Source organism: Homo sapiens, chromosome 14 (assembly GCF_000001405.40).
Source record: "Homo sapiens chromosome 14, GRCh38.p14 Primary Assembly".
NCBI classification, from domain to species: domain Eukaryota; kingdom Metazoa; phylum Chordata; class Mammalia; order Primates; family Hominidae; genus Homo; species Homo sapiens.
Window position 1 is genome coordinate 53751011 of NC_000014.9, and position 21555 is coordinate 53772565.

A 21555-nucleotide genomic window follows, 5' to 3' on the forward strand; every position below is an offset into this window, starting at 1 on the left:
AATAATCCTAAAATCATTAAGACAAAAAAATTTACCTATTAGATATTTTTCTACACTCAATGCTGGAATATCATGAAGTGGCAACAATTTTATAAAAGGCTCTTACCCACAATTTTACATTAAGCAGCACAAAGAGATTCTCAGATATATACAAATTTACAATTATAATGATTAACCTATTTTTCTTCAAAGTTATACCCTCAAAATGAAATAAAATAAAAGATCAGAAAATATAGAAATAGTGATAGCAAATGACATGTGGTAACTGGAAGACATTTACACATAAAACTAATTTAAGGGGTGGAATAATTTAAGACGGCGAATAGAAGCCTACATTGTCTGTAACGCCCACAGGAACATCAAATTTTAACAACTATCTGTGCACAGAAAAGCCCCATCACAAGAACCAAAAATCAGGTGAGCAATCACAGTACCTAGTTTTAACTTCATATCATTGAAAGAGGCATTGAGGAAGGTCAGAGACACAGTCGTGAATCACCAAAGCCACTCTTACCCTACACCCTGGCAGCAGCTGTGCAGCACAGACAGTCTGTGCACTTGACAGACGGATGGTGCAGTGACTGGGGAACATTACATTGAACTCAGTGCTGACCTGATGTAGCAAAGAGTAAAGATGTGCTGGGCCCAGCCAGTGCCTGTGCAAGAAGGGAGCATTTGGACAAGAGCTAGCTAGAGGGGAATTGCCCATTTCAGCAATCAGAACTCGAGTTTCTTAGCAAGCCTTGCCACCGCAGGCCAAAGTGCCCTGGGGTCCTAGGTAAACTTGAAAGACAATCTAGGACACAAGGACTACAATTCCTAGGCAACTCTCTAGTGCTGGGCCGGGCTCAGAGCCAGAAGACTAGGGTGGCATGTGACCTAGGGAGACACCAGCCAGGGCAGCTAAAGGAATGCTTGTGCCATCCATTCCCCAAACCCAGGCAGTGTGGCTCACAGCCACAACATTGTCTCTTTTCTTCTATTTAAGGGATGAAGGCAAAGAGTAAAGAAAATTTTGACTTGCATTTTGGATTCTAGCTCAGCTGCAATATGATAGGACACCAGGCAGAGTCATGAGGCCCCCATTTCAAGCCCTAGCTCTCAAAAGACATTTCTAGACCAAAGAGAACTTGCTGCCTTGAAGGTAGGACCCAGTCCTGGCAACATTCATCACTGGTTGACTAAACAGCTCTTGGGTCGTAAATAACCAGCAGTGATAGCCAGGTAGCATATCATGGGCCTTGGGGTCTGAGACATGCTAACTACAGAAGTGACCCAGCACATTCCCAGTTGTGGTGGTTGCAGAGACTCCTTGAGTTTGGGAAAAGCAGAGGAAAAAGTAAAGGGGACTTTGTCTTGCACCTTAGGTAGCAGCTTGGCCCCAGTCAGGTAGAGCAACAAGCAGGACTTTGGAATCCCCAAGTCTAGGCTTAGGCTCTTGGACAGCATTTCTGGGCCTTCCCTGGGCTACCGGGGAGTCCAGTTCCCTGAAGGGTGAATCCCAGGCTTGACAATGTTCACCATAAGCTGACTGAAGAGCTCTTGGATTTTAAGTGAACATTGGTGGTGGCCTGGAAGAACCACCCTGCCGCAAGGGGCCCATGCTGGTGGTACCCACTGGGAGAGGCCCCTCTGCCTGCAGAAAGGGAAAGGAAGAGTGGGAAGGACTTTATATTGTGGTTTGAGTGCTACTGTAACCATAGTATGATAGACCATAGGGCAAATTTCTAACATTTTTTACTCTAATTCCTGGCTCCCAGACAACATCTCTGAGCCCACCCAATGTCTGGGGAACTTGCTGCCCTGAAAGGAAGAACATAAACGTGGCTGGCTTCACCACCTGCTGATTATAGAGCCTTAGGGTCTTGAGTGCACATAATGGGTAGACAGGTAATGATTACAGTGTGCCTTGGACAAGACCTAGTGCTGTGCTGGCTTCAGGTCTGACCCAGCACAGCCCCAGTGGTGATCGCCATAGGGATGTTTGCACCATCACACACCCAGTTCCAGATGGCTCAGCACAGAGAAAGAGACTGCATTTGCTTGAGAGAAAGTAAGGGAAAAGAACAATAGTCTCTGCCTGGTAATCCAGAGAATTCTTCCAGGTCTTATCCAAGACCACCAAGGCAGTACCTCTTTGAGTCTACAAAAACTCACAGCTATATTGGCTTGGGTCCCAAGTCTCTCTGAATATCTGAAAAGCCTTCTGAAGAAGGATGGGCACAAACAAGCCCAGAATGTAAAAACTACAATAAAGATCTAACTCTTCAATGCCCAGACACCGACAAATATCTACAAGCATCAAGATCACCTAGGAAAATGTGACCTCACCAAACAAACTAAATAAGGTACTAGGGACCAATGCTGGAGAAAGAAAGACATGTGACTTTTCAGTCAGGGAATTAAAAATACCTATGTTGGGCAAACTCAAAGAAATTCCAGATGACACAGAGAAGGAATTCAGAATTCTCTGAGATAAATTTAACCAAAAGATTAAAATAATTTAAAAGAATCAAGCACACATGCTAGAGTCAAAAATGCAATTGATGTACTGAAGAATGCATCAGAGACACTTACTAGCAGAATTGATCAAACAGAAGAAAGAATTAGTGAGCTTGAAGGCAGGTTATTCAAACTCTCTGGCTGAAAATACCCAGTCAGAAGATATAAAAAGAAAAAGAATAAAAAACAAAAAACATGCCCACAGGACCTAGAAAATAGCCTCAAAAGGGCAAATCTAAGAGTTACTGAACTTAAAGAGGAGATAGAGAAAAAGATAGGGGTAGAAAGTTTATTCAAAGGGATAATATCAGAGAACTTTCCAAACTTAAAGACATTGACATTCAAGTACAAGAAGGTTATAGAACACCAAGCAGATTTAACCTAAAGAAGACTACCTCAAGGTATCTAATAAATCAAACTCCCTGATATGGTTTGGCTGTGTCCCCACCCAAATCTCATCTTGAATTATAGCTCCCATTATCCCCACATGCCATGGGAGGGACATGGGAGGAGGTAATTGAATCATGGGGTTGGGTTTTCCTGTGCTGTTCTCGTGATAGTGAACAAGTCTCATGAGATCCGATGGTTTTATAAATGGCAGTTCTCCTTCACATGCTGTCTTGTCTGCTGCCCTGTAAGACATGCCTTGCTCCTCTTTTGTCTTCTGCCATGATTGTGAGACCTCCCTAGCTATATGGAATTAAACCTCTTTCCTTTATAAATTACCCATTCTCAGGTATATCTTTATTAGCAGCATGAGAATGAATAATACAATAAATTGGTACTGGGTAGTGGGGCACTGCTATAAAGATACCCCAAAATGTGGAAGTAACTTTGGAACTGGGTAACAGGGAGAGGTTGGAAAAGTTTGGAGGGCTCAGAAGAAGATAGGAAAATGTGGGAAACCTTGGAACTTCCTAGAGAATAGCTTTGACCAAAATGCTGATAGTGATATGGATAATAAGGTCCAGGCTGAGGTGGTCTTAGATGGAGATGAGGAACTTTCTGGGAGCTGGAGCAAAGGTCACTCTTGCTATGCAAAGAGACTGGTGGCATTTTGCCCCTGCCCTAGAAATCTGTGGAACTTTTGAACTTGATTTAGGGTATGATTAGGGTATCTGGGGAAGAAACTTCTAAGCAGCAAAGCATTCAAGAGGAAGGAGAGCATTAAAGTTTGGAAAATTTGCAGCCTGACAATGTGATAGAAAAGAAAAACCCATTTTCTGGGGAGAAATTCAAGTCAGCTGCAGAAATTTGCATAAGTAAAAAGGAGCCAAATGCTAATCACCCAGACAATGGGGAAAATATCTCCAGGGCATGTCAGAGGCCTTCACAGCAGCCCCTCCCATCACAGGCCTGGAGGCCTAGGAGGAAAACATGTTTTTGTGGACCAGACCCAGGGCATCTCTGCTCTATGCAGACAGAGAGTAGAATGTTGGTTACCAGAGGCTGGGAAGGGCAATGGGAGCTGTCGGGGAGGTAAGGATGGTTAATGGATACAGAAAAATAGTTTGAAAGATACCTAGTATTTCATAGCACAACAGGGTGACTATAGTCAAAATAATTTAATTGTACATTTTTAAAATAACTAAAAGAGTATGATTGGATTGTTTGTAACACAAAGAATAAATGCCTGAGGGGTTGGATACCCTAATTGCCCTGAAGTAATTATTATGCATTGCATGCCTGTATCAAAATACCTCATATATCACATAAATATATACATCCACTATATACCCACAAAGGTTAAAAATAAAAACATTTTCAAGCCAAAATATTAAATAATAGATATCATACTAAAAGCAATATTTTAGTAATAATTAACATAATCTAATTATTTCTATTATAAATTCAATAAAAATTGGATGGGAAATTCAATGAGAAAGAGGAGGTTTAAAGCAAATGAAGGTAGATGTTTTGCACATTATAAATATAAAAAATCATGTGTGTTTTTTGATTATCTTGTTGTTAAATTCTAGATAAATTGAATTAGGACATAAAACTTTAAATGAAAAATAAATGCAGTTAGCATGACAAAGTATTGATTAACAAAGGAACAATCAAGAGGACAGTAAAGGAAATATGAAATAAGGTAACAGAAGTGAGAACAAATACAGTTCTGATAATAATGCTTAACTACAATTTAAAGAAAAACAGCACCCAGAATGAGTCAAAAATAAATATACATATCAGTTGGATAAATGTTTAAAGTAACTGAATGAATAGAGACACACACAACCACTGCAAACTAAAATATAAAATATCTCAATATATTTACATCAGATGAAATAAAATTCAAGTCAAAACATTTTTTAAAATGTAAACTACTGAGAACAGAGATACAACATATCAGAATTTCTGGGACGCAGCTAAGACAGTGTTTAGAAGGGAAATTTATAGCACTAAATGCTTACATTAAAAGGTTAAAAAGACCTCAAAGTAATAACCTAACATCACAACTGGAATAACTGGAGAAACAAGAGCAAACTAACCCCAAAGCAAGCAGAAGACAAGAAATAACCAAAATCAGAGCTGAACTGAAGGAAATTTAAAGGCAAAAAAAATACAAAAGATCAGTGAATATAGTAGTTGGTTCTTTGAAACCATTAATAAAAGAGACCACTAGCTAGTCTAATAAAGCAAAAGAGAAGATCTAAATAAACACAATTAGAAATGACAAAGGCAACATTACCACTGACCCCCACAGAAATACAAAAGCCCCTCAGAAACTACTACAAACACCTCTATGCACACAAACTAGAAAATGTAGAAGAAATGAATAAATTCCCAGACACATACAATCTCCCAAGACTGAACCAGAAAGAAATTGAATCCTTAAACAGACTAATAATGAGTTCTGAAATTGAATAAGTAAGCATGGTGGCTCACGCCTGTAATCCCAATACTTTGGAAGGCAGAGGTGGGTGGATCACCTGAGGTCAGGAGTTTGAGACCAACCTGGCCAACATGGTGAAGCCCTGTCTCTACCAAAAATACAAAAATTAGCTGGGCGTGGTGGTGGGTGCCTGTAATCCCAGCTACTCAGGAGGCTGAGGCAGGAGAATCGCTTGAGCCCAGGAGGTGTAGGTTGCAGTGAGCTGAGATTGTGCCATTGCACTCCAGTGTGGGTGACAAGAGTGAGACTCAGTCTCAAAAAAAGAAAAAAAAAAAGAAAAAAGGAAGCCTACTGTATTAGTCTGTTTTTACACTGCTAGAAAGAATACCTGAGACTGGGTAGTTTATAAACAAAAGAGGTTTAATTGACTCACAGTTCTTCATGGCTGGGGAGGCCTCAAGAAACTTACAATCATGGTGGAAGACAAAGAGGAGGCTGGGAACTTCTCACAAGGTGGCAGGAGAGAGGGGACAGCAGGGGAAACTACCACTTATAAAACCATTAATTCTGTAAGAACTCACTATCACAAGAACAGCATGGGGGAAACCACCCCCGTGATCCAATCACCTCCCATTAGGTCCCTCCCTTGACTCATGGGGATTACAATTCAAGATGAGATTTGGGTGGGGACACAAAGCCAAACCATATTACCTGCCAATCAAAAAAAGCTCAGGACCAGACAGATTTATAGCCAAATTCTACCAGATGTATAAAGAAGAGCTGGTACCTTTCTTACTGAAAGTATTCCCCAAAATTGTGGAAGAGGGACTCCTCCCCAACTCATTCTATGAGGCCAGCGTCATCCTGGTACTAAAACCTGGCAGAGACACACACACAAAAAGGAAAACTTCAAGCTACTGGTATAAAAACAGATGCAAAGGCCAATGGAACAGAATAGAGAGCGAAGAAATAATGTTACACACCTAAAACCATCTGATCTTTGACAAGGCCAACAAACACAAGCAATGGGGAAAGGACTCCTTATTTAATAAATGGTGCTGGAATAACTGGCTAGTCATTTGCAGAAGATCAAAACTGGACCTCTTCCTTACACCATATCCAAAAATCAACTCAAGATGACTTAAAGACTTAACTGTAAAACCTAAAGTTCTGACAACCCTGGAAGGCAACCTAGGCAGTACCATTCTGGACATATGACCTGACAAAGAATTCATGATGAAGACACCAAATGCAATTGCAACAAAACCAAAAATTGACAAATGGGATCTAATTAAACTTAAGAGCTTCTGCATGGCCAAAGAAACTATCAAAATAGGAAATAAACTACCTGCAGGATGCGAGAAAATATTTGGAAACTATGCATGTGACAAAGGTCTAATATCCAGCATCTATATGAAACTTAAATAAATTAAGAAGCAAAAAACAAACAACTCTATTCAACCCCCTTAGAAAGTGGGCAATGGGCATGAACAGATACTTCTCAAAAGGAGACATATATACAGGTAACAAGCCTATGAAAAAATGCTCAACATCACTAATCAAGAGAAATGCAAATCAAAACCACAATGAGATACCATTTCACACCAGTCAGAATGGCTATTATTAAAAAGTTAAAAACTAACTGATTCTGGGGGGGTTGTGAGAAAAGGGAACTCATATATACTGCTGAAGGGAGTGTCAATTAGTTCATCCATTGTGAAAAGCAGTGTGGTGATTCCTCAAAAAGCTAAAAACAGAACTACCATTTGACCCAGCAATCCCATTACTGAGTATACACCCAAAGGAATATAAATATTTCTACCATAAAGCCACATGCACATGAATGTTCATTGCAGCACTATTCACAATAACAAAGACATGGATTCATCCTAAATGCCCATCAGTGGTAGACTGGCTAAAGAAAATGTGGTGCATATACACCATGGAATACTATGCAGCCACAAAAAAGAATGACATCATACCCTTAGCAGCAACATGGTGGAGCCGGAGGCCATAATCCTAAGCAAACTAAGACAGGAACAGAAGTCCAAATACCACGTGTTCTCACTTATAAATAGGAGCTAAACAATGAGAACATGTGGACACTAAGAGGTGAACAATCAACACTGGGGCCTACTTGAGGGTGAAGGGTGGGAGAAGGGAGAGGATCAAAAAATACCTATTGGGTACTACACTTATTACCTGGGTGACAAAATAATATGTATATCAAACCCCTGTGACATGCAGTTTACCTATGTAACAAACTCTGTACATGTACTCCTGAACCTAAAATAACATTTAAAATAAAAAAGAATTTAAATTTGGTCATTCTGTACTAATAAAAAGCACATTTCTCCATGGGAATATGTTATCTACATTAATGTGATAAGTAATTCATAAGGAAAACAATGTCAGGACTAATGGAAACACATTAATAATTAATAGTTGGCAGTTGCTTCTTGATAGATCAAATAGGCAAAAATAAGAATATAAACCGTTTCAATTATGTAATTTAAAATGTTTGTAATAAATATTTACCAAGCTCATTACTCTCATGGTAGAAAATACACTTCCTTTTCAACTATCTAGATAGCTTTTCCTCAAAAATTAATTTCACAGCATGTGAAAAAGAAAAACTTATTCCCTAAAGGCATAAATTATGTACTATGTCTTATAATCACAGTGAAATAGAATAAGCAATTGCTAACAATGCATAAACAAATAAACATGTCAAAAACCTTTCTTTGTAATCCAAAATTCTTCACCAGGACAAACTATAAATCACAAATGAGGAAAAAATACAGATATTTTGATACACAGGAACACAAGGATGATCAGTTAGAGTTACATGAGGAATTCTCCAGCAAACTCAGAGTTAACAATAAGGAAGAAGACAGCTCAAAATCACAGACTAATGAAAAGAAACCAGAGTGGCTGTTGGACAACGGGCCTTGAAAGCAATCACCCTCAATTAGAACAGTTGGCTCCAAATAAACAGGAAATTATAAGCCCCAAATATCTTGATTCAGCCTTATTTAAAACTACCGGTGAAATTATGCATCACAAGGCAAAATGGTATTTAAACTAGAACCATAAAGATGAAAAATATTATTGACACAAACTTTTGTTTTAAAGGTGAAGGAGGTTGAAAAATTTACTTAGAGGAATAAAAAGCCTTAGCCAAGAGGGCAAAGTTTCTCTATCATTTATATTTATGTTTTATTTTGCATCAAGAGATTTAGTTTTTAACTAGTCTGTTTACCAAGAGAAAAAGTGTTTCCAGTGATTTTCAAATAATCATCTCCCATGGATTGTAACCTGTGACCTTAGGACTGTGTATGTGTGTTATTGGAAACTGCACTTGTTGGAATGTTTTGTCCTTAAAACATGAATTGGCTCACCAACCTTGTGATAATTAATCCATCAACTATGTCCTCATGGATCTTGTTAAAACTAATCTAACTAGTATAGAAACCATAGATTCTCCCGCAAATTAGAAAGTATATTTTTAGATTTTCTTATAAGACATTTTGCAAATAAAATAGATTTTATAACTCATTCATTTTTAAAATGCAAAGCAAAATATCTCAAAGCTCCAAAAAAATTATTGTCAAGAAGAAAAAAAGTGAATTCCAAGCAAAAAACAGAATAACTAAGACTCTGCATAATATTAGTGCATAGTGAGCAAAGCATATGTTTCTTCTTCTGAAAGAAAAAAGAATAGCAAGGAGAAATTAAAGGAAAAATACAACTGTATAAGAAAGTCAGGGTCTAATTATGAAGTAAACTAAGATGTGAATTAATTGTGAACATTCAATGGAATGCAAGAAAAGACATGGATATTTGTTATTTGATGAAATGGACACAACTTTGGACTAATAGAGAAGGAAATGAAGTACCAGCATACTACTGGGCTCCATGAAGAACAATATTTATGTGGTTATAATATCGTATGTAAGCAACATAAATCTTAAGTTCAAATTATAGAATACATCTATAAGGAAATCACTCAGAAATTAAATGTAGTTACATAGCAAATTTTGACAACGTGAAATTAAAGATAGAAGAGAGTATGGAAAGTGAAAAAAAAGTGTAGGGGCTATTTGCCCAAACTAAAGCAGCCAGGAATGATAAGTTTAAGTATAATGCTTAAAGGTATAATGCAAACCAATGGAATGAGAAAAATAACTTCTAAAATTGGGATAAAGCCTTCATTCCGATATTTGGTTCCTCTGGCATAATAACCAATGACCACCACTAAGGCAAGGCCTGCTTGTTGATAAACCCATCTATAACCAGACAGCTTTCAGTCATCCTTTGTAATCATAGGGTAAGAACGGACAATCAAAGATCACCAGAAATTAGAAGAAAATCTGCAATATCAAAGAGAAAGGCCAAGAGGAAAAAATATATACTGCTTTTGTAGAGATGGAGAAACCTGGAAAAATCAGATTTAATTAACATCCATAGAGTCACAAGAATATTTTATCCTCCAATTTAAAAATGATGCTAATATCAGATAAAATAAAAACCTTTTAAAATGTAACAAGATGAATGCTGAAATAAAATAATTTAATTAAAAACTTTAAAAAATAAAGTTGAATAAATCTCCGAAAGCAGAACTAAAAGATTAAAATGCAGAAAGTGGTGGTGGGAGGGGATATGATCCATAGAAGTTCAATCCAAATACACACAGAATCAATCTAGCAAAGGAGGACAAGGAACTCAAAGAAGAGGAAGTATAAAAGGTATCATATAAATAAGTTTATCAAGTTTGAGGGGCACATATCATCAAGGTAAGATAATTTACCAAGTTCTGAGTAAGATGAAACAAGAAAGAGCTACACTTATATATATCATTGTGTGGTTTCAAAACTTCAAGACTAAAGAAAATATATAGAAAACTTCCAGAGAGAAATAAAAGTTTGTCTTCAAAAGAAAAAAAAGATACCTGATGCTAGAAATATTCTTTTTGAGAGGCATGAGGTCAGATACTGGAAAACCACCAAGAAAGAAATATAACCATTTTATAATAGTGACTCTCTGGTGAACAAGACTTACATGGAAATAACTTATCTTGTTTCGGGTTTTCAAAAAAAAAAAAACATAGAAGACATGCTTATCAAACAGAGTGTAATTATCTTCCTTGACAATGTCAAATGCAGTGGAGAGAAGCTGGCAGGTGGAATGTAGAAGGAAATATGATGGGTATGGTGAGGGTAAGAACATCCTCATCTCAAGATGGGAGTCAAGAGATACTGTCAATAACAGATGGATTAAGAAATTGAAATAAAACAAAGAAATCATCTTTTATGCTAACCTCATCTTCTCCTTCTTTCTCACTTGGAGAGGGAGAAGACAAGATTAGTATAAAAAAGCTAGATCCATATCCACCACAGCAGAGAGTCAACAGATCGTGTCTATGGGACATGTCTGAGAGACAGTGGTATTGTATTCATTTAGATTTAGGGAAATACTTAAAAGAGCAGGTGAAGTACTTATTTGCCAGATATAAGACAGGAAATAATAATTGAAAAGAAGTAGGCAGAAGAATTCCTGTGGATCAACAGAGATAGGAATAATTCTTGTTCTATTAGCTGGAAGGGAAAGATGTTGTAACATGTGAGCATCAGGTAGAAGGTATAATAGGGCTCAATTAGCACTACACTAACAGCGTCTCAGAACCCCAACTAACAAAGCCACAAAAGGCTCACAATGATCCAAATAAGTCCAAGAAACTTAACTATATATACAAAATCAAACACTATTTAAAGTACAACAAAATTCTGCAACCAATAATAATAAAAAATTCATTGGCATCCAATTAAAAATTACCATGCATGCAGAGAATGAATGCAATATGCTTCATAACCAGGAGACAAATCAGTCCATAGAAAAAGACACAGATATGACAGAAATTATGTAATTAGACAGAAGACTAAAATGGTATTATAAATGTGCCCTGCGTGTTCAAGGTAGCAGAGGAAAAATGTGACCATGACATGAAGAAAAACAGGAGATAAAAGAGAATATCTTCTAGGGATAAAATCTACAGTAATCAAGACATTGTGATATTAGCATAAGGTTAAACATATATGTAATGAAACAGGAGAGATACCAAATATGCAGATGCTCCTGTATAAATTTAACTGTTTTTCAACAAAGGTTCCAGGCCATTCAATGGGCAAATGATAGTCTTTTCATAAATCATGCTAAAATAATTGGACAACTACATATAAAAACAACGTAGGCCCTTATCATTGTACACAAGAATTAACTTTAAGTGGCTCATAAACCTGAAGATAAGAGCTAAAACTGTACAACTTCTATAAGAAAACAGAAGAAAATCTTTTTGATCTTGGGTCAGCAAAAAGATTTCTTTGACACAACACAAGAAAAGCACAATCTGTAAAAGAAAAAAATTGATAAATAATCTGCATCAAAATTAAGAACGTCTGTTCTTTGAAAGACAATGTTAAGAATATGAAAATAGAAACTATAAGAAACTATATTCGTAAAATGTCTGCTGGTAGCAAACTCATACCTAGCATATAAAAATAACTCCTATGATTCAATAATAAGACGCAACCTAATAAAATTACACCAAAAATTTAAATAGACACTTCATCAAAGAGGATATATGCATAGCACATAGACACATGAAAAGGTGTTTGCCATCATTTGTCATAAAAGAAATACAAATTAAAGCCATTGGATACTCCAACACACACTAGAATGTATAAGATTTAAAAGTCTGCTATACCAAGTGTTATCAAAGATGTGGACTAACTGAAGCTCTTGTACATTTGTTGTGGGAGTATCAAATAGTATAGATGCTTGCCGAAAACTTTTGGTAGTTTCTTTAAAACTTCACTTACCATATGACCCAGAAATCCAACACCTAAGCATTTACTCAAAAGAATTTAAAATATATGTCCACAAAAGATTTATACAAGAATGTTTATAGCAGGTTTATTCATAATAGTCAAAAACCAGAAACAATGCAGATGCCCATCAGCTGATGAATGGATAAACAAATTGTGGTATATCCATACAACAGAATACTACCAGCAATAAAAATAAGTGAACTACTGATACACACAACAGAGCAACAGATGATTCTTAAAGTCATACAGAGCTAAATAAACCAGACACAAAAAACTACATATTGTGTAATTCCTTTTATAGGAAATATTAGAATATTAAAAAACAAAAGTAACAAAAAGTATAAAGGTGGGTGTCAGGGATGGGGTGGAGGAGGGGATCAATTGCAAAGGGGCACAAAGAAATTTTCTTGAGGTGATGGAAATGTTCTATATTCTGATTGCACCAGCAGTTGTAGGACCATAGACATTCAACAAAACTAATCAAACTGTACACTAAATGGGTTAATTTTATCATATGTAAATTATACCTCAACAAAGTTGATTCTAAAAAAAATGGAAGTGAATGCAGAAGCAGGCCTTATGGTAGTAGATCATTGTTTCTTATCATTTGTATGTCTATATTTTTATTTCTGTGGGCATGCATGACATCGGCTTAAAAAAAATTAGGCCAGGCGTGGGGGCCCATGCCTGTAATCCTAGCACTTTGGGAGGCCAAGGCAGGCAGATTGCTTGAGTCTAGGAGTTCAAGACCAGCTTGGGAAACATAGCAAAACCTTGCCTCTACAAAAAATACGAAAAATTACCTGGGCATGGTGGCACACACTTGTGGTCCCAGCTACTCTGGAAGCTGAGGTGGAAGGATCACCTGAGCCCAGGAGGTCAAGGCTGCAGTGAGTTGTGGATGCTGCCACTGCACTCCAGCCTGGGCAACAGAGTCAGACTCTGTCACAAAGAAAAAAAATTAAAAGAAAGGGGAAAAAATTGAACTTTAACCAGATTAACTTGGACCTTAATATGGTCAACAGAATTTGTGTTTTATTTCAGTAAGAAAATAAAATATTCCCCCCAAAACACCCCATAATGTAAAAGTCTCATTCACAAGGGCAAAAACAACCCATATGAAAAAATCTTCCTGAGCGCCATGAAGAAAACTGGACTAATGTAAAGATACAGTTACAATACAATCACAAGTTGCTTTTTTAAAAAATGTACAATATAGTCCTAATGTTCGTCTGGAAAAATGAATATGCATAAATAGTCAAGAAATGCCTGGATAAATGATTTCTGTCTCACAGAACAAGGATGTTATGTTTTTTAAAAATTATTCTACTCTCTGTGATTTAATATCGCGCCCTTATTTGGTGGATTTATATGTGTTTATAGCAATCCTCAGCTAAGTGATCTTGGTTTACAATAGGTTCTTAGGGAGGAATACTGTCTTTATACTGGGCAGGATTCTTCCAAATTCATTCTCTCATTACAACATGAGATTTGGATAAACTGCATTTACTTAATGGGCTCAAATTTTAAATATTTAGTTTGTGAACTAGATGACTGTGGAAGGTCAACTTATATATTCTGGAAGATAGAGAAGGCCTTGTTTGAACAAACCTAGAATGTGCAAATTTGTTTGTCAATATAGCCAAAATCTCCTTCAAATAATGGGAGTTTAAGAGTTTATGAATCAACCTGAACAGCTTGCTGATGATCATTTAATAGACTGTGTGGGAAATTGAGTTTACTTCAAATTTATGAACTGATGGAGCTATTCCCTATAATGATTAACAATGAGTCATAGAAGAAACCAAGGGTCATTCTCAGGCACATGCGCCTAATGTCAGGTGTGGAGAGAGTGAGAACAGTTGTAGAAGAGGGAAAGGTCTCATGACATCTGTTAGCTAATTTTCATTTTTAAAGTGAAGACACAGACTGGAAAAATTTTAAGGTGAACTTAGTACCTAAAACATCTCCAAAATGGGTGCTTTGTGAAAAGCCTGGGTCAAAATCCCCGAAAGATTATTATTAATGTAAGAAAGCAATAACTCAGAGGAAGCTGTAATAATATCACAATATGTTTACTTAATTTGGGGGCTCAGAATATAAGTGCAGGGAACATAGGGTGGTTGAACACATTTCTCTGATAATTAATGTTTTTACCTGAAAAACACATCATACACACATTCCAAGGCCCAGATGTGAAACACTTAGAAAGGTACCATATAAAAGTAACTGAAGCAAATATAATAGCAGATGCTTAAACAGAAAGAAGACATAGAACTGATCTTCCAAAAGTGACTTTTGGAATGCAGTCAACATTAAGCATGTTTAAAAGGAATAATTAATGAAATGAATGATATTTACTTAGAGTTTGTTCAATAAATATTTGTCCCAAAAATGTTGACTGAGCATCTGTTATATGCAGGGACTGCAGTAAATACCTTAAAAACACAACCTCATTCCAACCACAAGAATCCAATCAGAGAGGTAAGTAGTATTATTTTCCATATTTTATAAAAAAAGAAACCAAACATAACAAGTGTAACAATCCATCCAAGTTCACACCACCAATTAGCAGTGGAGTTGGAATTCAAACCCAGGTATTCTGGTACAAAGAATACAAGCATTGAATGCTAAGCTGAAAAATATTATTAGGTCAAATCCAACCTATTCTATGAATAATTGTTTTAAAATCTGAACAAATATAGCATAAAAATGTAAGGTTTTTAAATTTTGTTTTTCGAACAAAAAATAATTTTTTGTTAAACATTTCTAATCATAAACCTTTTGGGTTAATGTCTCATGTAGAATAACCAGAAAATGACCCAAAGCTCCTTCTGCTCCTTTTTACAAAGAAATGTTATTTAAGAAATATCAATCAGCCCGTTATTATTGTTATCATTTCTGCACTTTGGTACCACAGTTCATCCCTAAATTAGACACTGCAAAGAACATATATACACTAAGAGGAATTTATAATCTAAAATAAGAGGAAACAAATATACAGTCATGCATCACTTAACTGGGACACATTCTAAGAAATGAGTTGTTAGGGGATTTCATCATTGTGTAAACATCAGAGTGTACTTACACAAATTTAGTGTTGCCTATTACACACCTAGGCCATACGGTATAGCCTATTGCTCCTAGATACAAACATGTATAGCATGTTATTGTACTGAATACTGTAGCAATTGTAACACAATGGTATTTGTGTATCTAAACACATCTAAACATAGAAAAGGTACAGTAGAAATACAATATGAAAGACAAAAAAATGGCAATCTACATAAGGCACTTACCAGGAATGGAGCTTGCAGAACTGGAAGTTGCAGTCATTTAGTGAGTGAGTGATGAGTGAATGCTAAGGCCTAGGACATTATTGTATATTGCTGTAGACTTTATAAATACTGTACACTTAGACTACACTAAATTTATAAAAAAGTTTTATTTATTCAATAATAATTAACCTTCCTTAATATAACTCTTTTACTTTATAAACTTTCTAATTTTTGTAAACTTTTTGACCCTTTTGTAATAACACATGGCTTAAAACACAAACACATTATACAGCTGTCCAAAATGTTTTATTTGTTTATAATATTCTATAAGCTGTATTCTATTTTTAGTTTTTTTTGTTTTACATTTGAAACCTTTTGTTAAAAATCAAGATACAAACACACACATTAGCCTAGGCCTACACAGGGTCAGGATCATCAATATCACTGTCTTCCACTTCCACATCTTGTCCCACTGGAAGGCCTTCAAGGGCAATAACACACATGGAGCTGTCATCTCCTGTGATAATAACGCCTTCTGGAATTCCTCCTGAAGGACCTGCCTGAGGCTGTTTTACAGTTAACTTTCTTTTTATAAGTAGAAGGAGTGCATTCTAAAATAATGATAAAAGATATATCAGAGTAAATACATAAGCCAGTATCATAGTCATTTATTATCATTATCAAGTATTGTGTACTATGCGTAACTGTATGTGCGATACTTTTATACAACTGGAGGCACACGTTTGTTTACACCAGCATCACCACAAACACATAGGTAATGCATTATACTACCATGTTAGGACAACTACAATGTCACTAGGCAACAGGTATTTTTCAGCTCCATTATAATCATATGGGATCACCATCATACCATGTGGTTCATTGTTGACTGAAACGTTGTTATGTAGCACATGACAGTACATGAAATGATTAGAAATGACACTGGAAATAATTGTCTAAATGATCTGCTTAAACAGCTGGCAAATACAACTGGATACAAATAGCACCTTGTATAGAACAGTGATTCTCAAAGTGTGGTCCAAGGAAGCCTGGGAATCCCCAAAACTCTTTCAGGAGGTCCTCAGGATCAAAGTCATTTTCTTAAAGTTTAATTCTCATTCCGTTATGAGCATAGAGAGGTATTTTCCACTGCTGTGTGGTTGGAATGTGAATTCCTAATTTTCCCAATCCCCACCAAGTGGTAAATCTTAGGGTAAAACCACACTACTGGTTGGGCTCTCACAGTTCATTAAAATGGTCTCTGCACAGCTGTGCACACACTTCAAAATCTGTGATAGCAAATGCTCTTATCTTCTCTAGTGGTTCTCCAATTTGAATGTGCTGGAGAGGTTGTCAAAACATATTGCTGAGCCCCATTCCCAGATATCCTGATTCAGTATGTCTATGGTGAGTGCTGAGAATCACTGTCCTCAGCCGTAGGCCAACCAGACTCTCACCCCTGTCCATCTGGAGGGGCCTCAGATGGTAAAACGGAGTGTGTGACCTATTCTAACCTATTCAGCTTCTCATGGTTTGTCCTGAGACATTGTTCTTTCAAAGCTCTCTGCCTGGATACAACTGCTCTCAGATAAGTAGTCATGGAAAAGCTTTTGAAACATTTAGCTTTAAAGTTCTTTCTAGAAGTTCACACATTGGAAACATTAGTTGAAGTTGGACAGTTTAGTCTTGAAGTGATTCATCGGAACTGTAAAGTTATGCAGGTGAAGCCCTTGGAGCATAGGCAAATAGCTGGGAGACACCCTCAATCCTGTTTCAGTCTGTAAAAGAGGTAAGTGTTTCAACAAAAATATGATCTGTAGTTGCTAAGGATATGCTTTCTGCAATACTCTAAAGCATGTGCTGCACCCATCGAAATTCTATGAGGCAGAGAAGTCTTTGAGGTCCTGTTGTCCTAACAGAACACTTGCCAGTATCCTGACAGAATTAGGAAGTCACTTTGAGCTGCCCTCCAGACAGGAGCGCACACAAAGGAAGGCTTCATCTGAAATCCTAAGCAAAGAAAAGTGAAGTGAGGAAAGTGGAACATTAAATTTTAGAACTGGCAAGTAGCAACAGTTTGCAACCTTGAAGATATTTAACTAAGAGTTGAAATTTCACAAAAGTATGGTTTTGACAACTAAATGCCCCCCAAGGGTGAAGATTGTTCCTGGAAAAAAAATCTAAAATGCTGTTATTTAACCCAGGTTATTGGCCACTAAAATCACATATGCCAAAATTCGGGGGAGAAAAAATAGTCTGAAGAAAAGAGAGAAAGAAGAGAACTTACCTTGGTAGAAGGAACGCCCTCATTCTTTAAATGGACTGTAGTCATAGAGCCATTTTCCTTGGGTCTCTCCTTAGTGATGTGTCTTTCCTTGTGTCTCTTCTTAGCATTTCCATTGAGAGATCTTCCTTCTCTAACTCCTTTAGGTTTCTATGAAGCTTTTAGCCTTCAAGAAATGACATTTTGCTTTCAATTTTTTATATTTATCTTTTCTTAGATCTGAAAATCTCAGTTGTTTCTAAACCAAGAACTTTGCAAGGATTCCAAAGCCACTCAGGGCTTGTTCATTAAATTCACCCAAGCTCGTTCACCAGGAGACCATAGGGTGCCCGTGAGGTAAAACATAATCTATGAGATGTTTTGGGAGGAAAGGATGATGCAACTGGTGTGGATTTTGCCCCAGAAGGGTCTTATAAGTGGTTTGGTTGAAGAAATAAGTTACCTATGTGTATGATGATGAAATACAAGTGATTCTTGCTGCAAGAGAGGTAAACATAGGTGCAATGAGAGTTGAGGGATGGGAGTGGAGGTCGCCAAAGACTTTGAGAAAGAGGGTACATCTAAACTGAGCTTTGGAGAATAGTGAAGTGCAGAGATAATGGTGGTAGGGGATGCAGTGAGGGGTGGTCCTGCATAGCTGAAATTTCAGTTTTGCCAGATTTGTCTGTGACAGTGTGCATGTGCAATGCAAATACAGCCAATACCACCAGAGTCTCCCTGTGAGTCAGATCATCTTATTTATATAGCAATCCCCAAAAATATTCTTTTAAAATTTCAGTAACTTTGTCTGGAAGTATCTGGGAAGGTTTTTTCTCTCCTTACTGGATATTCAATTTCCTAGTGTGAAATCCAATGCACCAGAAGTCAATCCATGTTTTTGCCTTGTTTGGAATAAATTATTGAAAAGAGCCATGCTGAGATTTATATTACTTGTATAAAAACATTGCATTTGAGATGGGAAAGACTACTACAAATCTGGCTGGATCTATACTCTTTTTGGAGAATAACGGAGAAATCATCCCAATGTAAATGTAGTATCTTCAGGTCTGCCTCAGCTATGCATTTACAGTTAAATGGTTTGAAATTCTCTAACATAGAGGAAAAACACTTGAATGAAAAAGAAGAGAGGAACAGATTTTTTAAAAGGGGAGGAAAAATACAACAAGATGAAGAAGAAATTTGGAAATGAGGCAAGCATAAAAAGAGTCAGGGAGAGATGGAGAAGGGGAGATAGGGTTGGATGACAAGAAACCGTTTTAAAACAACACAAACCCTCTGCCTGCCCCTATAGTGGAAAGTGCCATGGACTCTTCTAGGTTTCTCCCCATGGGTACACCCATTATCAGGACTCCAAATAATCTGTCTGGCCCAGCCTTTGGCATTCCTGTCCTGTGGGATAGAGGGAAGACAGACACAAAATGCATGGGCTGGAGGAGGCGATGCATGCCAGAGGCGCCTGCGAGGACTGGGGGAAACAGACCACACTGGTCCAAGGAGCCAGACACCTGTGTAAACTGCAGGAAGCTGAAAGGAGCCTAGCTGAGCTGATGGAGACACCACATGCAGGCGGTTTTAGGAGTCAAAGTCACACAGAGACAAAGGCGCATGCACATACACACACACACACACACACACACACGTCACACACACACACATACACACACACTCACTCAATCAGGGAAATAAGTAAAGGCAGGCTGACCCAGAAAGGGGCAGAGAAACATTGAGGGGAAAAAGTAACATTCAGATAGGGAAAATGTATCCCCCAAAAAAGTATCTCAAGGGACATGACTATTTCTAAATGCCCTTGTTTTGCATTTTCATATAGATGTACTTGCTATGTCAAAAAAGTCTAAGTGACACCTTTCAGTAGGTTAACAGTACCCAGTTAATTAAACTTACTAATTTGTCAAATGTCTGGACAGATGAGAGCTTACATAAACAACATCTATGAGTGTTTTATAATATACCTACGGACAGGCCCTGCCCGTGGCCTACTGAATCAGAATTTCAGAGCATAAGGGCTAAATCACAGGTAATATTGACACCCACTCCCTCTTAAGGGCTACTGAGAGATTGGGAGTGGATTGCATTTCATTTAAAGAAACACACAGCCTGTCTCTGGGAGACGAAACTGTTAACCTGCTCTGTGTTTTAATCCATTTATGCTGGAGGTTGGAAATCTTTTGTGTGAAAAATCAGACCTTGGCGATGACCCTGAGCAGTAGGAGATACATAACTCCCACAAGCTTAGTGTTCCAAAAATGGAACACTAGGCATAAATGGGCTAAAAGGAACACTTAAAATGCACACACAAACGTACAGAGGGGAAAAAGATAATAAAAGGATCTCGAAATTTGAATTCTTAGAAAAAGAATATACAATATCAACAAGTTAACTCCAAGGACTTTCACAAATGCCCTAATTTAATATCATTAAAGTGTAGTAATTCTCATCTCAGAATATTTATTCTCATATTTTGGGTTACCCTGAGCATATTACAAGAAAGTGCTTTCCAAAGTGTGATTTGTGGTGTACTAATACCCTAGAAGCTCTTTGGGGGGGAAAGTTAAAGGAAATGGAGAACTCTACATATTTTTTCCCAGCATCCCCACACATATACCAATTACCACAATCCAATCTGTATTAGCAGCTAAGACATTTTTTAAAACTTATTTAACTTTATTTTAAAAAGTATTTTTCAAACTTATGTGTCCATAGAATCAGTTTTCAATATAATGCCTATGAGTATCATGAGAAACTAGTGTTACAAGGAATTAACTTTTTTAAAAGCACTGGATTCTTGTATCAAAACAGGTAACTGGTCACCAACCAAAGCTTCCTTGTTTTTTAAAGAGACAAAGCCAATGATTTATAAAATTATCATTAGAGAGTATAGCAAACACATAAGCCTATGTTAAAAGCAAATGTGCTATTAGATTGGTACAAAATTGATGGTAAAAATGACAACTACTTTTGCACCAACCCCAGCATTCAGTATTTTCCATATGCTAAGTTCCTGGCTCACCTTAGGTGAAGATCAAACTAAATTATTTTCTAGTACATTAAAAAAAAAACAAAAACAAAAAAACAAAGCAAAACAAAAATGCTCTCTGAGGAATCTGAACTAAACACAGCTCATGGCAATATAAGACCAGAAGATACTTCCGACTGATGTCCAGAAGTAAATTTTAAGCTAAGGACTGACTATAGTGAAAGCCACTAGTAGGAAAGTTAACTCGGATGAGCCTCTTCTCGGATGGTCAAGGATGCCCTGCTGCCTGTGCAGGTGTTGTCCAGGGAGGAATCTGGCCCTGGGCCCTCCACATCACAGCCTGTCCTGATCCCTTCCATAGAGCCAGCACATGGGAGGATGACTGGAGATAAGTCACGTTAGCTATTGGTGAAAACACTGAGTTGATTCGTAACTGCATAATTCACCAGCTCATACACATCGGTGACATAAGCAATGCTAGCTTGATAGAAAGGCCTTCAGAGAGTCTCTGAATGTGGGGTAAATCTGGTTTCAGCAAGGAACTCAGGATGTTAGACGAAAGTCTCATGAGGGGAATTGGGAAGATGGAAAGTTAACAAGAAACGTCAGAATATACAAGCTTTTATTTCTAAATCTAATGAGCCTAAGTGGTGGTGGGGGTGGGGAACTCTATAAGTCATTTCTGAGTGGCATACATAAATGGTACTGTAAAATGAGCAAATAAAATAATTTTTAATTGGGCTTTTCATTATGGCGGGCAGCTTTTCCACACG

General features: G+C 37.2%; 1 long non-coding RNA gene across 10 annotated transcripts in view; it reads right to left on the minus strand.

The window, feature by feature from the left end:
• The window catches only part of LINC02331 (long intergenic non-protein coding RNA 2331), a 165830-nt gene that overhangs the window by 66014 nt on the left and 78261 nt on the right, over positions 1-21555 (minus strand). For 9 of the 10 annotated variants that reach the window (NR_184221.1, NR_184218.1, NR_184212.1 and 6 more), the window contains one exon: positions 17791-17953. This is a non-coding gene — a long non-coding RNA (long intergenic non-protein coding RNA 2331). The remainder of the gene's footprint in view (positions 1-17790; positions 17954-21555) is intronic. The other variant, NR_184214.1, reaches the window with a different exon arrangement.